The sequence below is a fragment of the Homo sapiens genome, chromosome 4 (genome assembly GCF_000001405.40).
Source record: "Homo sapiens chromosome 4, GRCh38.p14 Primary Assembly".
Taxonomy (NCBI): Eukaryota; Metazoa; Chordata; class Mammalia; order Primates; family Hominidae; genus Homo; species Homo sapiens.
In genome coordinates, this window is record NC_000004.12 from 84,477,584 (window position 1) to 84,500,036 (window position 22,453).

General features: G+C 47.4%; 1 protein-coding gene across 1 annotated transcript, besides 4 other annotated features; it reads right to left on the reverse strand.

The window, feature by feature from the left end:
* Window positions 4,049-4,549: an enhancer, noted in NCBI's record as "H3K4me1 hESC enhancer chr4:85402785-85403285 (GRCh37/hg19 assembly coordinates)". NCBI's record gives its function as "activates a minimal SCP1, AML or CMV promoter by ChIP-STARR-seq in naive H9 embryonic stem cells {active_cell/tissue: H9 hESC(naive)}" and the evidence as "EXISTENCE:reporter gene assay evidence [ECO:0000049][PMID:30033119]".
* Window positions 6,114-6,952: an enhancer, noted in NCBI's record as "H3K4me1 hESC enhancer chr4:85404850-85405688 (GRCh37/hg19 assembly coordinates)". NCBI's record gives its function as "activates a minimal SCP1, AML or CMV promoter by ChIP-STARR-seq in primed H9 embryonic stem cells {active_cell/tissue: H9 hESC(primed)}" and the evidence as "EXISTENCE:reporter gene assay evidence [ECO:0000049][PMID:30033119]".
* NKX6-1 (NK6 homeobox 1) lies at window positions 14,402-21,709 on the reverse strand. The gene is made up of 3 exons (NM_006168.3): window positions 19,976-21,709; window positions 18,089-18,261; window positions 14,402-15,966 (listed from the first exon to the last, which is right to left on the reverse strand). The coding sequence occupies exons 1-3, from the start codon at window positions 20,643-20,645 to the stop codon at window positions 15,706-15,708; spliced, it is 1,104 nt and encodes a 367-aa protein (NP_006159.2). The 5' UTR covers window positions 20,646-21,709; the 3' UTR covers window positions 14,402-15,705.
* Window positions 14,789-15,680: an enhancer, noted in NCBI's record as "H3K27ac-H3K4me1 hESC enhancer chr4:85413525-85414416 (GRCh37/hg19 assembly coordinates)". NCBI's record gives its function as "activates a minimal SCP1, AML or CMV promoter by ChIP-STARR-seq in primed H9 embryonic stem cells {active_cell/tissue: H9 hESC(primed)}" and the evidence as "EXISTENCE:reporter gene assay evidence [ECO:0000049][PMID:30033119]".
* Window positions 18,037-18,537: an enhancer, noted in NCBI's record as "H3K4me1 hESC enhancer chr4:85416773-85417273 (GRCh37/hg19 assembly coordinates)". NCBI's record gives its function as "activates a minimal SCP1, AML or CMV promoter by ChIP-STARR-seq in naive H9 embryonic stem cells {active_cell/tissue: H9 hESC(naive)}" and the evidence as "EXISTENCE:reporter gene assay evidence [ECO:0000049][PMID:30033119]".
* Window positions 21,710-22,453: the final 744 nt, after the last annotated feature.

A 22,453-nucleotide genomic window follows, 5' to 3' on the forward strand; every position in this document is an offset into this window, starting at 1 on the left:
TTACATAAGGAATATAGAATCAATCAAAAAATTCCAAAAAGATCCAGCATTGATTTTTAGTCTCACATCACTTATTTTATACCAGGAAGTGATTAAATTATTCATTTTTATAAAGTAAAGAAATACATTTCCAACTAACATTAAAATGAAGTAAAGATGAATCTAATTAAACAACACTGATTTATCATCATAAACATTCCTGTCTCAGGCAGAGAAATCACTGAGCTATAGTGAAATGGAAAAGATAAATGTAGCTTGTGAAAATGTCAGAACTGAGAACTGTATGATTTCTAAAACTCTTTCTTGTTTTACAAATGTTTATGCTTCAAAAACCAAAACTCTAATGGCATCTTTCACCTTATCCACAAACTTTAGGGTGAATGACTCAGCCTATTTTATCAACAGAACCATGTTTAGAAGATCGGTTTCAAAAGAGAATCCCAACTAAGAATAACATTACATTGTTTTAGCCATAACCAATAAATACAACTTCATCTGATTTTTGTGCCTCTTATTGAAATCTTGGTGAGCTTTTTTCAGACCATTAGTATAGCAGATTTCTTTCTATTCATATAACTGTAAGTTGACTTTCATTGCTATGTAAGAATTATTACTTCTGATACAGCAGAAGTAGCCATCTCTTTTTATTTACAAATTCTGTTCATCAACTTTCACATCCATTTCTGTTTGAAAGGGACAGCAAAAGGAAAGCATGAAAGCATTCAAATATACTGATAATATGTGTGCAGTCTGGAGTCTTTATTCAAAATGAAATCAAGTTCAAATGCCTGCCTGCCCAGCATTGTTAAGGAAGATTTATAAGGCACCTCCTTATTGAAAATATATCCAGCATCTCCCTCTCCCCTGTAATAATTGTTGAGCTATTTAGTCAATATTTGGCTTCTGTGCATAGTTACCCACATTACGCAGAGCCACTTTATGCCTCCAGTGATCATGTAGGACCACCACTCCTCCTTCTATTCCTCTAAGTTCAAATGTTTACCTCTGTAGCGGGCTCATTCAGTTATCATTTATATCAGTTATTGGTTAGAAGCTGATCATTCCAATCACTCCAGTACTAATTTTTTATTGTCCCACATCATGGCCCATTCTTCAAGTGGTGTTTCAGAGCCTACACCATTTCTTCGGAAAAAAAAAAAAAATCAAGCTATACATGCCAACAATCTGTAGTGCATTATCATTTGTAATGTCCTAATTATTTTACATAATCAATAACATCAAGTCGCTTTTCTTGGGGACTCTCTGTTTATTTACATTTTATTCCACACACGTCAGCTTCCATCAAGAGCAAAACCAATTTTCTTGTCCTGCATCTGCTTTCAAGGCAACCTTAATTCTCCATAAATCTATTTGTGTTCACTACATAGTTAGACCCAGTTGGTTATGTTGATATAATCCTAGGGCCAAACACGTCTTGCTCTACAAAACAAGACTTAAATATAACTTGGAATGCTACCCTGATGATGACCATGGTGACTGGAGGTAGTGTTTCATTTCATTGTTGTTATTTTTGCAGAGGTCTCTGTTTATGATGTGATGCATTTGGGCCTAAGCACATTAGCTGCATTATTCATTGGGTACATTTGTCAGAACATGCATGTGTATAAAGAACTAATGATCCATATTAAATTAATGACGCTATAAAAAAGAAAAATACTCCATACAAGCAGCTATGTCAGAAACTACAGACTTTGATAAACTATAGAAAGGACCTAATCAGATGAAGCATTGGACTGTTCTGTCTCCAAAATTACATTTCTAGAAATGTACTTGTACACAATGTTGGTTTTATTAAAACAAATTAATTCAGTCATTAAGGAATCATAAGGCAAGTGTCTCATAAGTCAGGACCTCCAGTGTAACAAATTGATTAAATGACTGTGTAATAGTCTCTTTAAACAAATCTAGTGTAACAAGTTAATAGATCTGCTCAATTACCATCCTGGGGTGATGAGGATGTGGGCAACTCTCTCATTAAATCTGGGAGATTGTTCTTAGGAGTTTTTTCCACTTTTCTCTCTATTTTTCTGTCTAGGCTGTGTTGTGTTTTGGATTTGAGGTTTATTTTCCAGCCTCTGAAAATTGATTGTTCTAATGGCAATCAAAAATAAAAAACTGAATTTGATGCTGCTGACTTCTCCAGTGGATTTGTCAGGGGCTGTTGCAAACCAGTTTGCTCGTGCGTGCTCTCTTCTCTCTCTCTCTCTCTCTCATTCTCTCTCTCTCTCTCTCTTCCCCATTCCATCTCAAGCCTAGGCGTCTGCTGAAGGGCTGCAGGGCACCACCCACTGGCCACCACTCTGTCCTCAGTAACTAAAATAGCAAAATCCCTCTCAGATCAGGCTAGAGTTTTCCCCGGTTTGACAAAATTTGCAGCAATGCATTCTAACCTGGGAAACTTGGGCGTCCCCGAGTGCCAGTGCCAGGTGAGGGGTGCAGGCAGAGGGCATTTAAGTTTCTTCTGAGTTGGGAGCTAAAATATGTTTTATTTTTAGCTATGGATTGATTTCAATGGGAAGTTTTTACACAGGCTTCCACATATGAGAGGGAAATTTGCCTACACATCCACGGGCCTTCTCAACCTTCCTGCAGAGGCAGGGAGGGAAGGGTGATCCCAGAAAGTACTAGAGGTGGGTGGGGCTTCCAGTGAGGCAAGTGTGGGATGAGAGATAGCCAAGATGAGGAAGGAGGTGGGGGAGTGGAGAGGAGAGAGGGAGGAGCGTTGGGCCATAAACCCTACATCGAAATCTCTTAAGGGATTCTTGCTTTAAGAAAAAGCAGAACACCCTTCTCTGGGGTATGTTGAAATCCTTTTATAGAAAGATGGTAGCCGAATGTAGAGGAGCTCAGGAAGCCTCCCCTCTCCTAACTCCAGAGATGCCAGTCCTGGCTGGTTCTGAGTTTGAGACAGCACAGAGTAACTTCGAGGCTCTACCTTTCCTTGCAGAGTAACTTCCAGGCTCTGCCTTTCCTTAGGTGTTAATGCCCATGACACCCTTTCGCCAAAGGCCTTGGGAGAAAAATCTATTACCCCACTGCCATTTTGTTAAGTGTTTGCTCCTGCGATGTGACCCTGCCACTTTATCTGTTGGTTTTTATTTTCTGAGTGCATGTTGCCCATATGTTACTCTAATAGTTGCTATAATTCTTGAGCAATGGGGCTCGTATTTTACGGGGCTGAATTAAAAAGAATGCACTTTAATAAAAACCTGAGCAATACACTAATGGCCTGACATTGATGTATTTGCATAGAGATGAATTATACGGGCCTGCTTGACACGACTTTTAATAAATGATTGAGGAGGTTATTATAAGGATGCACTTTGGTGTGTGTTAACAGGTTCTTTTAGTGCATCTATAGCCAAAACTGGGAGCAATGCAGTCCCGCGTACAGTCGCAAGATACTTTTTTGTCTTATATCTTTTGACATTTATTGGGACCTCTCCGTCCCCATATTACAGTCACAAGCTACATTTTATTAACCGTCGGTAACGTTAACTGTGAATGGAATCGGGAAATGAAAAGAAAAATGAGCCCCCCTCCATATACCTCCAACCATATTAGATCTCAAGGTAGTCAATAATGAGTGTTTGATACCAGGAAGCCTCACTTCGGAAGTCACAAAGAGCTGGTTACGCTCGCCTAGAACCCGGCAGGGAAGGCCGCCGTTCTCCCCGGAAACCGCCGGGCGAAGTGCTGAGGAGGTGCGATGAGAAACCACCAAGTCAGAAATCGTCAGCGATGTGGATGACTCGGGAAACTTCTCTGTCTGGGTCTGGGAGTATGAAGATCTATAAGAACCTCTCTGCACACAGAAATCCAAGAGCTCACACGCTACTTAGATGAATTAAGCACCCAAGAGGATATATTTAAATACCTTCTTGCTTGTGCACTCTTGTCCTGCTTGAATTTCTTTTCTCCATGTGCATGTACTACCTAGCAAAATATAAACAATACAAAATTTATTTGTAACTGAAGGCGGCTCTGCCTCCCCTCTGTCTACCTTGCGGAGACTATTCAAACGCCCTCGCTTGCGGGGTTTCGGAGCCAGAAGTCTCGAGCTCCGCGCCTCCGCGCCCCCGCGCCGCGCCCTTCCACCTGCACCCGTTAGGCGCGCTGCGGGACAACAGCGCAGATGCAAACAGCTTTCTCGCAAGGAAAAAGGGAATTGAGGAGAAAGTTTCCTCTCTGAGCCGAGGGAAGCGGAAAAAGATCAAAGGTCGGGGGCGGGTAGAGTGGGGGTGGGGGGAACCGCGGGACGCCCTAGCTGTGTGCGTTTCGGGAGGCCTCGCAGTGCCATTCTGCAAGAGTACCTGCTATCTCGAAAATCTTTTGCCACCGCCGACCGCAGCGGGAGGGGGCAAGGGGCTCTCTCTGACTCAGCTCCGGATTTGTGCATCCCCGCAGTGCGGCACCCGCAGTCTTGACTTCCCCAGTCTCTGACTGAACAGATGTTTTTGTCCCTCGCGGAGATTTGTAACCGATGTTGGGAACAGCTAGTGGACGGTGCTAGCAACCTGTATCTGTTCTAGAACACACCTAGTGGGAGCTGCGGGGTAGAGTGGAGAGGTAGGAATGCAGCGGGACTGGGGCAGGGGACAAATCAAGGTGTGTGGGTAAATGTGAACATATGAACACACGTGTGTACGCACGTCTCTAAATGTGTCATTCATAACATTTTAAAAATGGTCAAGTCCGGCCGGGCGCGGTGGCTCACGCCTGTAATCCCAGCACTTTGGGAGGCCGAGGCGGGCGGATCACCTGAGGTCAGGAGTTCGAGACCAGTCTGCCCAAAATGGCGAAACCCCTTCTCTACTAAAAAATACAAAAAAAAAATTAGCTGGACGTGGTGGCTGGCGCCTGTAACCCCAGCTACTCAGGAGGCTGAGGCAGGAGAATCACTTGAACCCGGGAGGCGGAGGTTGCAGTCAGCCGAGATCGCGCCACTGCACTCCAGCCTGAGCGACAAGAGCGAAACTCCGTCAAAAAAAAAAAAAAAAAAAAAAAGGTCCAGCATAGCTGTGGTTGCCTTTTCGGTTTCAAAGTAATAACCAAGCAAGGAAGAGAGAAGACCGAAAACTACCCCGCGGAAACTAGCACAGTGTGCCTGGATGTCTGTGTCCCGGGACCTCGGGGAAGAGGGCCCGCACCGGTCTGCGAATTGCAAGGCCCGGCCTTCCCCAGCGACGCTCTGGTATCCGCTGTCCCCTCCCTGTACCTCCGCGACCCAGGGGACGCCCAGTGCACCAGGCCCTTCCCCGGGGTCAGCGGAGGCGCAGGGCGTTAGCCACATCAGAGGTGCAAATTTACCCCGGGCCCAGGGGAAAATGGCGACAGCGTTCGCGGCTCCACCCGGGGCGCGTGTCAGCGTTGGAGAGCCTGCCCGGCCTGCAGAGGGCGTAACAGGCACCGCTGGGGAGAGCCAAGCACCCCTGCGTCCAGGATCCGTAGCGCCGAGCTGCAGGCCCGACCTGCAGGGGGCGTGCCCGGCATGGGAAGCTCAGGCTACGTCTCCGAAGCTTGCGCTGAAAACACCAGAGGTAGGGAAAACGGGGAGAGCGTACTGTGCTGGGCTCTACCCTGGACACCCCAGTTTCATTCTCTGCGAAGCCACGCGCTGGCAGGGCTCTCGGGACGGCGATACCCAGGGATGATGGTACCCCTGGTCTCGGCGGGACCTCCCGGGAACTTGTCCTGGGGGAGGGAGCCCAACTGGCCACGTACTGGTAGCAGCAGTGGGTGGAGCGCACAAACTCCGAGGCCCGCGTATGCCCAGCACCCCAGGCTGAGGCTGCAGGGCCCCGGACCCGGGTCCCAGGGACGGAGCCTGCCCCCAGCACTAGGGAACTGGGCCAGGTATGGTGACCAACGTCCTAAATCCCAAACAGACTTCGTTCGGCCGGGCTCAGTAAAGAATTTGCCGAAAGGTAGAAACTGGACCAGAGAAGGGAACACAGTGCCGGGCACATCCTAGCTCGCTTGAATTTTCTGGGCTTTGTCATCCCCGAAAGTAGACACAGGATATATTATCAAGAACCTGGCGGCGTGCGGAGACTAGCTCCCTGAGATGCGCCATGACTGGATTTCAGCTCAGTCCAAACTGTGGGAGAGTCGCAGAGGAGAGAACACACGAGGAAGGGTGTGTAAAGGAAGGGACAGCTGGACAACTGAAGGCAGCGGCCACGGCTGCCTTTTCCTGCCCTGAAGTGGTGGAGCTTCTGGGAAGATCCGGGGCCTGTAGCGCCCTTTCCACTGCGAGTAGGCGCAGCCGCTTTACAGGTTGTGCGATGGATACAGGTATCGTGTGGCAGACGTGGTGCCGTCTGGGCTTAAAGCCATCGATAAGCAAACTACACAAGCCAGCCAATCCCGAGCGTTCTAATTGCCTTAGTCCTGGGATCACCCACGCAGCAAGTCCAGCCATGAAGCCCGCCCCCACAGACACACGCTTGCCCTCTCGTCTCCCTTGCACCCATTGGACTCGACGCCGCAGCGTGTGCAAAGAGGCCCAGACTGAGTCTCTGTATGGGATTCTCCTGCGGGGTTGGGAGAGACTTCTTTCGGAGCAGATGAGAACAACACAGACAAAACCGCATTTTTTGACTCCTCATTTAATCAAGACGAATTCCGATTTGTCTCATTTTGACCTTTGTCTGTGATTGAAAGGGAACATTAACCCCTACAACTTCTGCATGTTTTCTTTTCAGGGCCTTTTTAAACCAGAGTTGTCTCTGGGAGCTCCAGCCTTTAGGTCCTTCAGGTCTCTCCTCACCTAAAGGGAAAGTTCTGGGAGGCCCAGGCCCAGCACAGCCTCTTCAGGCATTCAGAGAGATTCTATAGCTCCTTCCTGTAGGTGGGACCGCAGAGCACATTCCAAACTCTTCCCTTAGGAACCGTGGTCCTAGTCCAGGAAGCCTTTCTCCTCCACATAAGGACCTTCCCCCACCCCCTCCCCCAGGAAAAGCCAAGTTCCTTCATTCTCTGCTCTTATACCGACCCTGCTCTTCACAGAGAGTCTGGTTTGTGCCCGAGATGAGCGAGAAACGCAGGGTATGGGAAACAGTGAGTTTTCTGTCCAGCCGAATAGGAGCAGATAAAATAAGACAGCCCGGAGTTCAGCTGTGTGACTGAGCCGGGAGGACCACCACACGATTCCCCATTCCTATCCAATTCCCAGTCATGGGGTAGAGGACACCAGATTCTGAGAGGCAAAGGACTACACCTAAGGCTTTTTCTAGCCTCTCCTAGACAGCAGAGTGTCTGTTGCTGTAAGTCAGCATTGTAGAAAAAGCACCGAAGAAAAGGAATTGAACGATGAGACCATTAAGGTAGAACACATACCCTTTTTAGGGCAGAAGGGCTCCCAAACACCCTGTTCTAGCAATTTGTCAAACTATTACATAATAATCAGATGTACAAGGGTGCGGTGGCTCACGCCTGTCATCCCAGCACTTTGGGAGGCCGAGGCATGCGGATCACCTAAGGTCGGGAGTTCGAGACCAGCCTGACCAACATGGAGAAACCCCATCTCTACTAAAAATACAAAATTAGCCAGGCGTGGTGTGTACCTGAGCATGCACAGTGTCCCCAGGATACAACAGGAAACAAGCTGTGTATGACCTTATGTCCTCAAAGTCTGACTATTCCAGGTTTAAAAGTTTTCTAAGAGGTAGTACTGCTACAGCTCTGTCCAAATTGTCACCCACTTTGGCCTATCAAGTCTCTTTGAGGCTCTTTCTTCTCCTGGGCAAAACGACACAGCACTATACTACAGAAGATAGAGAGCTAGATAGATAGATGATAGATAGATAGATAGATAGATAGATAGATAGATAGATAGATAGACAGACAGATAGATACTGTTCACTTGGAAACCATCATGGCCCTTGCAGGTAGAGCATGGGTCCCTGGCTGACACAGTCACCTTAAGTGTGCTGACAGCAAGGGCTCTTGGAGTCATCCATTTGTCCCTTACTTTCTATCTAATGGAAGTTAATGACAATGTGCTGATTTCATATTTGCCTTTGCAGTCCCTTTTCTCTTTGAATTGTGTTTATCAAGACCTAGACCAGCAGTGGGATTGCTTTTTATATCAGAGGTACTGAAGCCCAAGTTTTCAACTGTATTTGCTGTTTGTACTGTTTCCCTGGTACCCTGGCTTCACTCTGCTTCAGTAGTGTTCTGAGAGGTGTGCAAAAGTGGAGTAGATGGTCAAAGAGGAAGAACCTTCTGCCCATCAACTTCAGTTGGCAAGTAAGGCCCAAACTCACACTGGAAAAAGCAAGTTCTATGGGAGTTTTCCCTCTTAATCAAGAGCTGGTTCCGTGACTCCTAGTGGTCTTGCTCTATTCTTTTGAGGGCTTGCTGCCTCCCTCCCTTTCTTATGCCCCAGGAAATCAACAGCAGCTTCAGCACCTCTCACCCACTCCCCCATCTCCTGCCTTCTTGCAACCTTGTCTCTCTCAAAAGAGAGTCATATCCCTAGTTTTCAAAGGAAAGGTAAAAGGGGCAAATTCCAAATGCTCAGTCCTAACTTGAAACTCAGTGAAAAGTGAAAAGAGACTTTTTATGTCTCTTTTCTTTCCCTGAGGTTTTTGTTTGTTTGTATCTGTGTTTTTTATTTGTTTGTTGTTTGTTTGTTTTTACATTTCCCATCATCCAAGCAGGCAGAGTAATGTTGGAAGTGTGTCTCTGGCCGCATCTTGTGGGGAGAAGATAAGTAGTACTGGCTTGTGAACCAGATCCAGGTTCTGTCCATGTCTGAGATTTCTTCATGGGAAGCACCAGTTGTGATATATTTAGCCAAACTACACAGCCATATTACAAGATATAATCATCACCTCTTATATTTGTATGTCACTTTATAAAGACTTTTTGCTTTTGGGTTTCACAACAACTTTGTGAAAGTTTGATTGACGTAGTTGTATAGAGGAAGAAATGTCTGGGATCAAGTTACTGCAAAAAATAGAAACCAGTGCTAGGGCTCAAGTTTTCTCTCCCTAATGAAGTTAACGGTAGTGCTTCCTTTCATACCACATAGTGTCAGTCTGGTGGCATTTTCAAATGACTTTAAGTAATTATGAAAGATGCCTTCTTCAAGAATCTTTACTTTCAATTGACTACTCTTTATCCAGAGAACAAAGATAGGTCTATTATATAGGGTACTGCTTATCTGTGCTATGTAACAAATTATCCCAAAATTTAATGGCTTAAAACAATAAACATGATCTGACACAGTTTCTATGGGTCAGGAATCCCGGAGGGTTCAGCTGGGTGATTCTGCCTCAGGGCCTCGCATAAGCCTGCAGATGCCTCAGTTCCTCACCACATGGACCTCTATATAGGGGCAACACTGCAGCTGGCTTCCTCCACATCAAGTGATCCAAGAGAAAGAACAAGGAGAGTAACCTACACTGTATTCACTAGAAGGAAGACACTGAATTTAACCCATACCCAAGAACACAGGAATTAGGATCCATCTTTTAAAGGAAGAAATAAAATAATTTTTTAAAATATTCAAAAACCACTTCAGGTAGTCAGGCTTTAAGGTTTACATAGAAGAAATCCTCCTTTGCTGTCTTAACTTCTCTTTCCACTTTCACTTTGCATAATCTTTCCCTGGTTGCACAAGACAGTAGGGCTAGAGCTAAAGGCAACCTGAGACAGGGCCTTTCTTGATGGTGCTACTGCTGCTGCTGCTGCTGCTGATGATGATGATGATGATGGTGATGACAACAATGATGGCTACAACTTTCATAGCTTACTATGTGCCAGGTACTGTTCATATGTATTAATTCATTTCATTCTCCCAATAATTCTATGAAGTAGGTGCAATTATCATCCCTAATCTACCTGTGGAGCCCTGCTCTCAATCACTATATGATCTCTTGATCATTGTGATCTTGTGGCAAGAATGAAAGATTCCTTATACCCTCTCATTCACTTGAGACCATTTGGTTTTGAGAATAAAAACTGGCAAATCCTTACAGACCAAGTAAAGAGTACAGAGAAGGAAGAAAAATCTAGGGTCAAAAAAAAGTTTCCAAAATTCTTTTCAAGAGCTGAACCATAGCATAAAATGCAAGGACCAAGGCTGGCAAATGATAAATAGAGAAATTACTATAAACCATGGACTCCTGTATGGAGCTCAGATTAAAGGCATGAAAATTGGTTGAATGCCTTTGTTTGAAGATGATTAGACCATGTGGTAATAACTAAGTCAATGGATTTTCAGCAATCTTAACTTTCTGTGGTCTATCCAAATAGATTTGTCCCAAACAATTTATTGATGATGGACAGTGTTTTCATAATTAATTCACCCAACGTCCCAAAAATAAAATTATATGTTACAAAGGTAAAAGGAATTTATATACTAGCTTCTTTCCTGAATTTGATATATCTGTCCCTTATAATAAGTAAATACATAGGATAATTATGCCTCATAATTTATTTTGGCTTTCCCGAGGTAGACATAGGGAAAATGTTATACTAGAAGGGTGGTAAGGTCCCTCTGAAAAAATAACATGCACTTATTTAAATTACATAGTAAAAACTCTTTCCTGACAATGGGGAAGCAATCCATTTTCGAACATATCTTCAACCAAACTAGCCCTTATTCAAAGTATACTAAAATAGAAACTTTGAATGAAGCTTCTACTTCAGAATTCTGGCCACCCACCAGTAGATATCAAACACCATGCAGACATTATGCTCTACTCTTTAAAGTCTTCAAGTGTGTTAGTCAATAGAAGTGGCTGCTTTGGAGCATGAGAACAAATGATGCACATCTAAACATTTCATCTTTGGGTGACCAATGTTGGATCAAAGAGGAAGACTAGAGAGTGAATCCCCCAGGGTCTCAGGTAAACTTTCAGTTTGTGGAACAACTCTAAGCCAATCTCTGGAACACTGAAGTCTCAATTTCAGGAAAATACCCTATTCCTTAGTCATCCTGCTCAAACCATCATTACTCCCAGTCAAACTTTCCATTTAATAGGCTGGGAGAGAGGGTTATAGTGCTGTGTTTTCTATAGATATTAAAAGGGGCTACATTAGGGAGAATATGTTTCTCCCTAAAACTCACAGTCTAAATGCTATGGAAGAAAAAAGTGCACACTTTCCTGTCAAAAAAAAAGGAATAAAATAATTGTCCTGAATAACTGGCAAAAAAAAAAAAAAGTCACAAGAGGAGGAAAGAGCACTTTTTGCTTGTTATCTGTGTGTATGGTAAGAAGGAAGAAATTTAGTGCAGAGAAATTTGTTCGAATTAACATAAAATAGAGTTTACAGAAGAAATCTACCACTTACCTTTGTTGTTACTGCAAGATCCTATTGTCAGTGATTAACAAAGGAGCCACTGTGTCTTTAAACTATTCAGTGCTAGGAGTTCCCTAGTGGAATTTCACCTCTCGTGCGTGTGTGTGTGTGTGTGTGTGTGTGTGTGTGTGTGTGTGTGTGTGTCTGTCCCTGCTGATCATCAACTTAAAGGAAAGGGCAGTGTGGATCTCCCCAAGTTGATGCTGGTATAATAACATACTCATCTATTAATACACAATATTAGGCTCCAAAGGGTTGCAAATGCACCCCGGTCTCTTTTCCAAGAAAAGCTGGCCTGCAGTCCAAACTCCCTACCCACTGAGCAATGAGGAAATTTCTAGAAGAGAATCAGTGATTTTCAGTTCCCCCTCTTCCCACTGTCTCTGAAACAGGGAAAGGAATAGTGTATTAAACTGCTCACAAGCTTGGAAAGCCGCTCAACACACCACAGCTTCTGGGAAGAAAGGCATGGAGCTTTAAGTTACAGAATCCTGAATGTGAACCAAAGAGAAAATTACTCACCAAGTGGAAGAATTGAGCCTGGACTTTGGGGCCCAGAAAGAGAACTGAGTAGATGCAGCGAATGCTGCTGGGACATCTAAGACACAGGTCCAGGGCCCTTCTCTTCTATTCTATATCTCCCATGCAGCCCCATTGCCTTTTCCTTTTTAGGAAAAGAAACACATACCAACAAAAATGAAAAAGCAGTTTTACCCTTTCTTTCACCACACACACACACACACACACACACACACACACACACACGCACACACTTGTTTTTGTCTGTTTTCCACTGTTGGCATTCTGATGCCTGTAAGACTTTTTAAATGCAGTGGTCCATCAAGCCACTTGCTGTGACTTTTTTATTTTTAAAGCATGACCCTGTTAGCTGTAATTGTTGGTTGGCAGCCTTAATCAGACGCTTATGGTTGTTAACGCCATAAAATTTTTGAACCGAAATGAAAAATGATTCTTACTCTCCATTACTTAAGCTGTAGAGTGTCTCCTCAGTTTCCCCACGAGTCAACCCTTGTGAAAATCTGTTCTTGTTGCACATAAATGGAAATAAACCAAACCAACCAAGAACAAGGGAATTAGGGGTAAGATGTCCCCCTTCTCTCTCATTCTCAGTTTTATGGGGCCAGTTGCAACTGGGGGCCAGCTGGAGTGCTGCGTGGAAGTAAATTAACTGGAAACCTCAAGCCACTGCTGCAGTCAAGTAGAAAAAGGAGCAAATGCCAGTGCAGCCTGGCCCCAGAGCCCGACTCTGACTGCCACCCACACACCTCAGAGCACATCAGTACTCAGGCTGGCAAGCTCACACACCCATCCTTCCTCTACATATTTGCCTGTGGAGTGGAGTCCAGGCATCAGCTTTCACCCTTCTCAGATGCTCAGAATGGAAAGGTGAAGAGCACAGAGGAACGCTTCCTAAGGGATTTGCGAGAGGTTTCTTCCTACACCTCTAACTTGGAATAAATGCTATCAACCTGTTTACTTTTTGAGAAAAAGCTTCAATCTTAGTTCCAAGTTTTCTGTGACTAGTACTACTATATTACTACTACTGCCACTATTACTGCTATTATTATATTCTGGGAATAACATTCTAATTATATTGTGATTTTTTGTGTTTTTTTAGGAAGAATAAATAAATAAAAAGTTGCTTGGCTTTTCAAGGCAGAGGAGGTGTGAGTAAAGGCTAAAAGAAATAAAGTAGAAAAAATGTTCTCATTTTCAAAAATTAAATGATAAAGTACAGTTGCAGGACAATAGGTGATGTGTCCTCCCTACCCACCCACCTCTGTCCTTTTATAAAAAGGGAAAGAAATATAGAGGGAGAGAGAAAGGAAAAAAGGAAGAGGAAGGAAGGAAGTCAGGAAGGCAAGAAGGAAGGAGAGGGGGAAGGGAATGGAAGGAAGGAAGGGGGGAGGAAAGAAAAAAGGAAGGAAAACAAAAGAAGAAAGAAAGGAAGGTATTGTTCACAGCTAAAATAGAAATCATCCCAGCACAGCAAACCCTCCTTCAAAATAGCTGCTTCTCTGAAGGACACATACCTTAGTCATGCTAAGAAGACGGAAATTCAGAAGAGTTTGAAACTCCCTGAGAACTTCACAAACTAGAAAAAAAAAAAAAAGAGGACAGATTTTCAGCCTTTCTGTTAAATCATGCCATTAGCATTGCATTCTACAATAATTTCTCTTTAGGCAATTTCATTTTGTGGAATTTGTGAAAATTTTAGTTTTCAACTATTTTTTACTTTCAAGGGAACAGAACAGATCTATACTTTCTTTAGCCTGAAGAATCTACTGAACTCTATTGATTTTTTTCTCTTTGAACACAAGCTCATTAACCCGAAACACTAAGGAGGTAATGATATTTCACTGAGCCTGAAACCGAGTGTCTAAAAACAAAAAGATCCCAAAACAGTGATACAGCCCTGGCCTTCCCAATTTTTTTTTTCTTCAGATTCGGCAGCTGGAGAAGCTATGACATTGCTTTCTTAACCCTAAAATATTTTTACACCAGTTAAAGGAAGCTTTCTTTAAATTCATCTTTCAACAGTAATGTTTAGTAAAATCAAGGCTTCTGTCTTTCCACAATTTCTGCAGTCTTACAGCTACGGGGGAGAAATATTAGCATCAAACAGCAGTGCTACTCAACCAGCGAGCTCCGCTGCCTCCTCTACGCTAATCGAATAGGGGCTGACTGAGGAGCTATCTTGGATATATGGAAATGAGCTCTTCCCAACTGCCCCCCAACCCCAGGGACTTCCTGGAAAAGGAAAAAGCGATCAGGAAGAAATTAGACAACACAGACATCAGAAGCAGCTAGCTAGCTAGACTAGTCTCTCCAAGAATCACCATGAGTGGGGCTGCATTTATTTTATTTTCCTATCCAGGAGAATGAGAAATGTGACATCACTCATCCAAAGAAAAAAAAATTAAGTAACAGCTATTTCACCCAAGAAACCGATATACCATTTTTTTTGTGGTCTTGACTTTTATTATTTGAGATCTCTGATGAGATCAGATGATCTGTACCCTTTCATTCAAGGCAACAGACGTCTTCAAACTGTTTTTTTTAATTTGATTTATCCTTTGAAACAGAAAGTGCATTACATTTAACTGGTCTTGCAAAGGGGGTTTTCTTCTCTTTACAAACCGAATTCCTTATATAAATTAATAAAGGTTAAAGATGCTAATATATCACCATTATTAGCTGTAAAAAGAAAACAATTTACATATTCTATAGTATTCTTATGATACAAAACACTTCAAATTCAATTACAGTAACTAAATGAATTTTTATGTTTCAGACCCAGAGCGGTTGTAACAATTCCCACCACCTACTTTAACACGCATTTTTATCAGAAAGGAGTTAAATACAAGCTATTGTAGCCCCTCCCTCCCCAATATTTTCTTTAAATCACTAATAAATAGCAACAAACGACTGTGCAATTTCAGAGAGGAACAGGGAGGCAGGTGAGAGGCCCTCCCTGGTTCCCACGTCTTCCACTTCAAGTCCGGGGGGCGGGAGCGCAGTGTAGATCCAGGGGGTGGGCAGGGCAGGGCAGGGCGAGAAGAGATGAAGGGCAAAGGTGAGATTCTGCAAATCCAAACGGGAAAGAGGAACGAGAGGAGGGGACGGAGAAGGTGGGGACATTCTATTCTACGCTTCTCAAATTAAGTTCAAAATAAAAGGGAAGGTGTGGCTTGAGTCGCTCTTCAAAGGGGAGGAGGAGAAGGAAGAAAGTCCATCTTTTTATACGAAATTCAAAAAAGCATTTTACATTTTAAATATTCACAATAAAGTAACTTCTAGTCAGTGTAACTCACGATTTATTTACAAAGAGCCTTCAACAGGTTACTTTAGTTGCACAGCAGTGTGTGGGGGGGGAAACGTCCCTCTTCCCATCTGTGGCAGCGCCCGCCCGCTTCGCTCCGAGGTCCCCCATGCGGTGAGCGTGAACCCTTCCACAGCACCTCTCGGCGCCCCCTACCCCGCCGCCCGCGGGGGCAAAATCTGGGGGCGAGGGGGACCCGGGCGCTGAGGCCGCTGCCCGCCTATGGGGACGCGGCTGGGACCGTGGCCCGGCTGCGGGTTTCAGTAGCGACATTTACGCAGTGCATTTGGTGGTCTTTCTTGCCTTATCAACCCCGGAGTCTCTCTCCCCTACATCCCCTCCCACAACTTCAAGGTTAAAAAAATAGATATGTACATCTCAAAAATAGCAAAGGGTCCCCGCAGGCAGGGCCGGGTCCTCCGGGCCCCGAGGAGCGGGCAGGCGCGGCGTGCACGCGGTCCCCGCGCCCCTCGCGGCCCCAGAGGTGGAGGCCGGAGCCGGGAAGGTGCGGCGGGCGGCGGCGTTCAGGATGAGCTCTCCGGCTCGGACGCGTGCAGTAGGAGGCCGCCGCCGCCGCCGCTGCTGGACTTGTGCTTCTTCAACAGCTGCGTGATTTTCTCGTCGTCCGAGTTGGGATCCAGAGGCTTATTGTAGTCGTCGTCCTCTTCCTCGTTCTCCGAGGCCCCCTTGAGGCGCTCTGTCTCCGAGTCCTGCTTCTTCTTGGCCGTGGCCATCTCGGCAGCGTGCTTCTTCCTCCACTTGGTCCGGCGGTTCTGGAACCAGACCTGAGGGCGGAGAAAAGGGAGGAGAGGGGAGGCAAGGGCGAGGAATTAAACGAGCAGATCCAGGCCATGCTACCACTCCCGCATCTCGATGGCCCTCCCGCGGCCCCCCGAAGGCCTGCTGCCCTCCCTCGCAGCCCTCCCTTTTCTCGGCCGTCAAAGTCAGTCTCCGTCGCCCCAAGTTCCCCCTGAGTAACTGGCACCAACAAACTGACTGCCGTTGCCATAGCGATGGTAACACAAGAGTATTGAGGTTGTCAGTGAGCGAGTTCTCAAAAGTAAAAACAAAACTCGGAAACTTAAAAATGAGCGTCCCTAAAAGTGAGTTCACTTTCCTGCCTTCCAGTTTGAAGTTGAAAACTTTCCCCCTTCATGAAGTTGCCCCACAGTGGCTGTGATTTTATTCCTTATTTACTTTCTTAAATTAAGAAATTTCAAACAACCTGACACGTACTTGCTTTTCGGTATAGATTGTGGGGGGAAAGCACAGCATTTGCCCCAATTACTTCTGTTCTCCTTTTCACTTTTAAACATTTGTTTGTTTCACTTATCTCAGATCTGAATGTGTACAAACATGGTAGATAAAAAATATCCTCCCAGTTTTTACTTGCAATGTATGGTGCACTTCAAAAAAAAAAAAAAAAAGATCTGTTAAAATACAAACTTCAAATCGCCTTTAATGTTCTTCATAAACCCAAAGTAAAGTGAAGACTAGAATTACCATTGGTTATTTTTAAAACGTGAAAAATTGTCAATTACATTATTTTCCACAATTGGCATGTCTATTCTTTCAAATGTTATTTTAACTGTGTTCCTGCTCAAGACATTTAATACAAATATTTTTAAGCTTATTCATGATGTTTGACACATATTTTACCTAAAGCATCAGCAAGAAGCAACATATTTCCCAAAGATATTGAATTATCCTCCCTTTATTCTTGTCCTCCATTATGTATTTTATCTAGAGAATCAGAATTGTTAAGAAAGTGATGTTTATTTTCTTTATACAGCTATAATAATTCACTTCTAGCCATATAGACATATTTACGGTGAAAAATGAAGACCTCCAGATTATCGCAGTAGGCTCTGTACCAACCTACTGCAAAAAATAATTTTAACTGTGATGGTATCCTAATGGCCACATACAAAATCACTCCTGAAATGTATTTTATGATGGCTGTCCAGGGGGAAATACACTAGCCAGCAGACATGGCTAATGTTATTCCTACTTAATTTAAGAAGCAACAATAGAACTAATGAAAACAGACTTACACCCCAAAGAAACAAACATAACAAACTGAAAAAGAAGGACAAAAGAGACTATTGGAAATATAAGAAACCATTAGATTGAATTTACCCAGCTTGTTTAATCCCTTTATTTTTTAGGAAAAAATTTCTGAAATTTGTTTCCTTGGAAATATACTATACAACTCAATTATAAGGAAAGTGATGTTTTAATTATAAATTGTTGTCATGAATAGTGCAAATCCTAAATCTGTTAATAAACTTATTTTAAACCAAATTCAAGCCTATAATTCAGTAATAATCTTGTCAATTCATTTGTAAAATTACTATTCCAAAGCGATTGCCTTAAGCTAAGCTAAAAAACAGGTTCATCTATGGCAAGTGGTTAGATCCTGTGGATTTATTTATTTTTACTTGCGAATTAATACAGTAGCCCTGTAATACTGATCTACATTAGGAAATTATATAACTAGTGGAGCCTGAATTGACAAACAAAAACTTGGATATCGCTACAGATAGGATATGTAGAAGCTGTCTAACTGGCCTGATCTATTCTCTGGGCTGATATTTCAGTAATGCCTTTATTCTCTAATAATGGTGAGTCCCCCAGCACATGCTGCTATATAGATTAACCTAATTTCAAAGGCGGGGACTTGATTCCTTTTGTTCATCAAGAGTTTGCCCGCCTGCAAGACCCCAGCGCCTTTGTAGTCCCCACCCTCCTTCACTGCTCTCAACTTCTCCCCAGGCTCCTTGGATTCGCACCTCCCAGGCGACTGTTTGTTAGTTTGGGGTGTGTGTGTGTGTGTGTGTGCCCATGTGTGCACGCGCGCGCGACAGGGGCGGTACCTATCCCTCCAGGTATGCAAGGTCCACTCACCTTGACCTGACTCTCTGTCATCCCCAACGAATAGGCCAAACGAGCCCTCTCGGGCCCCGCCAAGTATTTTGTTTGTTCGAAAGTCTTCTCCAGGGCGAAGATCTGCTGTCCGGAAAAAGTGGGTCTCGTGTGTTTTCTCTTCCCGTCTTTGTCCAACAAAATGGATCCTTGATCTGTGAGAACCAATAAACAACGAGAGAGGGGGAAAAACAATCGGTTACAAGCGGCTGCACTAGGGGGAAAAAACGAACTCGAAAAACAATGTTTTGTGGGGAAAGAAAGCTCAGTCTGTGGCGGACACCAGAAGTGTAGTGGCGCTTCCAGACTAACGGCACGTCTCCCTTTGCTTTTTTACATCCACCTGTTTTTTAAAAGCCGCGTGTTTGGCGCAGCAGTAAATACCTTCTGCTCAACACCGACGTCAAACAGCTAGGGAGCCTATTGCTAAAGTTTGCCAGAGCCTAATCGCAAGGCCCCATTAAATTAACGACTGCCAGAAAAAGGCCACTCTCGCCTCCTAATCCAGTCGGTGCTCGTTCGGCCCCGGAGCCTTTAAGTGAGAATAACTAGATTTTTTTTTTTTTCCTTCAACGCTTCCCTAACCTGTGTCCAGGCAACAAAGGGGTCCTTGTTTTTGCACACAAGAGAGCTAAATCGCCCCCAAGTCTAACGTCGCTGCAGCCGAGGGGGAGAGGGGAAGGGGGAGGGGGCACAGCCTTTGTTGGCGGCCCCTAATACGGCCATCAAAACCGATACAATAGCGTCTCCCTGGCACCCCCACCAGGCCCGGCTGCCACAGTCCCCGGGCTTCCCAAGAGAACCTCCACTTGGCTTTCGCAACTTCCCGCAGTTACTGCCGCTCAGCCGCACTAAGGAGGTCCGGAGACTTGGAAGAAACTTCGGAGACTCGCTGAAAGGCGAAGAACTGAGCGAGAAAAGGACCCCAGGCTGGGCCCTGAAGTCCACCTGGAAGGCTGGGAGCCTCCGCGGCGCTGCGGCCTACTACCCCGAAGACTAGCGTGATCTTGGGGCAACTCAGTTTGCCTCAAGCAAGGTCTTTGCGGGATGGTACATTTTCCCCAGGCCGTGTCCCTTCATCTCACTCTTCTCCTGGCTCGCTCTTGTGTTAGGGTGTTGAGCTCCACGATGTCCCCAAATGTGCCCGGACGCAGCGTGTGCCAGCCCCCAGAGTGGAGGCAGGTGGGAAAGCGCGGGCCCAGCGCTGGTGAGCGGCTGGAAGCGCTCGCCCTGCCCTGGGGACGCTGGACTGTCTTCAATGGGCTCACCCAGGCCGAGTGTACTCGGGCGGCGAGGGCGAAGAGGTGAGGTGGGGACACCCCAGGCGGAGACGTGCATGCAAATACACTCACTTCCCGGGCGGTGGAGGGCTCACCGCTGCCGGGCCTCACTGCTTCGAAGAGAGGCAGCGGGTTAGGCTGGCGAAGGCGGAATGGGGCGCTGGACGACAGGGAGGAGCCGGGAAAGCAGAGATGCAGTGGCCTCTCCTCCCCTCTCCTCCCCATCTTTCTAATCCAGGCCAGGCCTGCGGTCCTGGCCAGGCCGTTTCAGGAACAGCCAGGGCCTCGGACGAGACACACGTCCCTCACCGCGTTGTGGTCCACACGAACACACACACACCGGCTCAGCCCAGGCGTACTCAAGACTTAGAGAGAGGGAGGCGCTTGGATACAGCCACGCGAGCTCAGAAAAGCGAGAATCCCTTTCTGGAAGCCCTGGCCCAACCTAACTGGTGTGATTCCGGCGCTGTCAAACTACTGGGGCGGGCCACAGGATGGACTGAGCGGCATGCACACCAGGGGCCGCGACCCGGGAGTGGGCAGAACAGGCACGGCAGGCAGGCATCGGGGCGCGGGTGGTAGTACTCACGAGGGGTACAGGCCAGGCGTGCGTCCCTCCAGGGCGGGCTCTGCATCACTCCGGGCCAGAAGATGGGCGTCCGGCCAGGCAGCTCAGCCAGCGGCTTGGGGTACCGGCCCACGGCGGCCACGGCCGCGGCGCTGGGGCTGAAGTAGAGCCCGGGCGGCGGCGGCGGCGGGCTCAGGCTGCTAAAGCGTGGCAGTCCGGCCAGCAGCCCCGCCGGGGATGAGGCGGCGGCTGCGGCCGCGGCAGCAGCCGCGGCGGCGGCAGAGGCGGAGGAGGCAGAGGCGGACGAGGAAGAGGAGGAGGAGGAACCGGAGGGCGAGGCGGAGGGCAGGGCGGCCCCCGAGGCCACGGGCATGGAGGGCCGGCTCAGGATATCGTTGATGCCGTGTGGGGTGGCGGCCGAGAGCTGCTGCGGGGGGCTGCCGAGGGATGAGAGCCCCCCCGTGGCCGGGGGCTTCAGGCCGCCTGGGTTGTGGGTGCCCAGAGGCGGGGAGGGCGACGAGGAGGACGACGACGAGGACGAGGAGGAGGGGGGGCCGGCAGGCAGCGGGGGATACGCGGCAGGGTACAGCGGGGTCTTCATCTCGGCCATGCTGTGCAGGGCGGCCAGGGGAGGGCTGCTGAGCAGGAATGCGCTCTGCCGGGTGCCCTCCATTGCCCCCACCGCTAACATCCCACGGCCACGCCGGAGACCGTAGCCTTGCAGCGAGGGCGCTGGCTGGTGCCCCCCGCGGGGCTCAGAGGAGCCGGAAGCGCCGAGGGCGCGAGCGGAGAGGCACTCGGCGCGCCCGGAGGCGAGCTGCCAACTGAACCAAAAATGCCGCTGCCGGGAGTTGCTCGCCTAGCTGCGCAGCAGAGATGTCCAAACCCTCCACGCGGGAGGCGGCAGCTCGCCGAGAAAAGCAGGCGTCCCGGCGGGCTAGGCAGTCCTTTCGTTCCGCGAGTCCTAGATTCGATCCCTGGCTATTCTCTCTTCCTCACTTTTCCTAGCTGTTCAAAGTGCGCTACTTCTCATCTTCTGCCCCCGGGAAATAAGCAAAACAAAACCCAGGCTGGCTCCGGAGAGTTTGTAGCAAAGTTAGTTGCCGAATCTCCACTTTGAAGTTGGAGGGTGGGGGTGGCTTGCTTTCTTTGGGGAGGTTCAAAGGACGCCTTGTGCAGCCCGTGGCGCTCCTCTGATCTTACTGGGATGCTCTGCTCTTTCGGTCGCGCGGCTGATTCGCATTCGACGCTCACTGTGCCCGGGGAGAAAGCGCATCCAGCCCGCGGGAGATCTAGCCTCTGTGCGGGCTTCCTCCGCCCACGCTGCCCCGGGCTGCTGCGCCAGAAAGGGCAGTGCCACGGATCCCCGCGGCTCCCAGGTCCTCACCTCCACCCGCCTTGCCCTCTGGCCCACGGGGCACTGGAGTTGCAATATTGAAAAGAAAAAGGGGGAGGAAAAACACAGAAAAACAAAAGACTAAGTGTGAAAAGTCTGACGGCTGGGTTTCGGCGCCGCTCGTCAGTCCACTTCTGCAAACGGGCCCGGCGACCCCCGCCCCACCCCCGCTCCCTCTCTCCCTCTCACTCTCAGCCTTTGACTCTCCTCTCTGGCATTTTCTTCGCGGCTTCCCAGGCTTCGGTCTTCTAAGTCCTGTCCTCTGGCCAAACTGACCCTCTCCGCGGCTCCTCCGCTCTTTCTCTCCTTTCCTCTCTCCCTCCGGGCCTGACAGTTCAGATGAAGCTCTCAAAGGTAATAAAACATTTGCATCACTCCCTACCCCTCTTTAGCTGGGGGACGAAAGGGAGGGGGAAGTGGGGGACCAAAATGAGAACTTTGAGGGACGTCACTCCGAGGCTGCGGGGGCCGGCGAGCCGGGCGCAGGCCGGGGGCGTAACCACCGTGTCCAATAGCTCGCCGCCTCGATCCTTGCGTCGCCCCTGGGGCTCGCCCACTCGGGGGCGCCGCACCCTCTGATTGGCTGAGGCGGGCCAGGCGTAGGGCCGCGCCCGCCTAGTCCCCTCCCGCTCCCTACTTCTTTCTCCTGTGGGCGGGGCCAGGAGGGGCGGGAGCTGGTGAGTGGTGCGGTTCCGCGCTGGGGCCAGTGGCCGCCTCAATTAATTGTGCTAAATAAAATGAGAAAGGGGAGGGGGAAGCAGAGACGAAGAGGGTATTACTTTTTAAAGAGAGGAATAATGAAAACTCAGCCCTTTTATGGAAAAGCAGTTCATATTCTTCCCTTGCTTCCCCACTAGCCCGCTCGCGTCATCCTATCCCCTTCCCCCACCAGCTCTGGAGGGCGCCTCACCTCGAACCAAGTCTGGTCCCTTGTAAAATGGAGCTAATGGAGCAGGCAGCCGGCGCAGCCCTGGCCTGGCTCCTTCTTTTGAAGGGATTAATTAAAGGCCATCTGGGCTCTCCCAGAATTGTGTAAATTAATTTGTTGCTCCTTAAGCCTTATAGATGTCCTTAATCCCCTTGTAGGCCAAAGGATCGTCCTC

What these genes read in the sequence shown, in the direction of transcription:
- NKX6-1 (NM_006168.3), bottom strand. Translation starts at nt 20,645, where the DNA reads ATGTTAGCGGTGGGGGCAATGGAGGGCACCCGGCAGAGCGCATTCCTG. An exon ending in ACGCCTGGCCTGTACCCCTC is followed by an intron (nt 18,262 to 19,975) that starts GTGAGTACTACC and finishes TGGTTCTCACAG; the next exon opens with ATCAAGGATCCATTTTGTTG. An exon ending in TGACAGAGAGTCAGGTCAAG is followed by an intron (nt 15,967 to 18,088) that starts GTGAGTGGACCT and finishes CTCCGCCCTCAG; the next exon opens with GTCTGGTTCCAGAACCGCCG.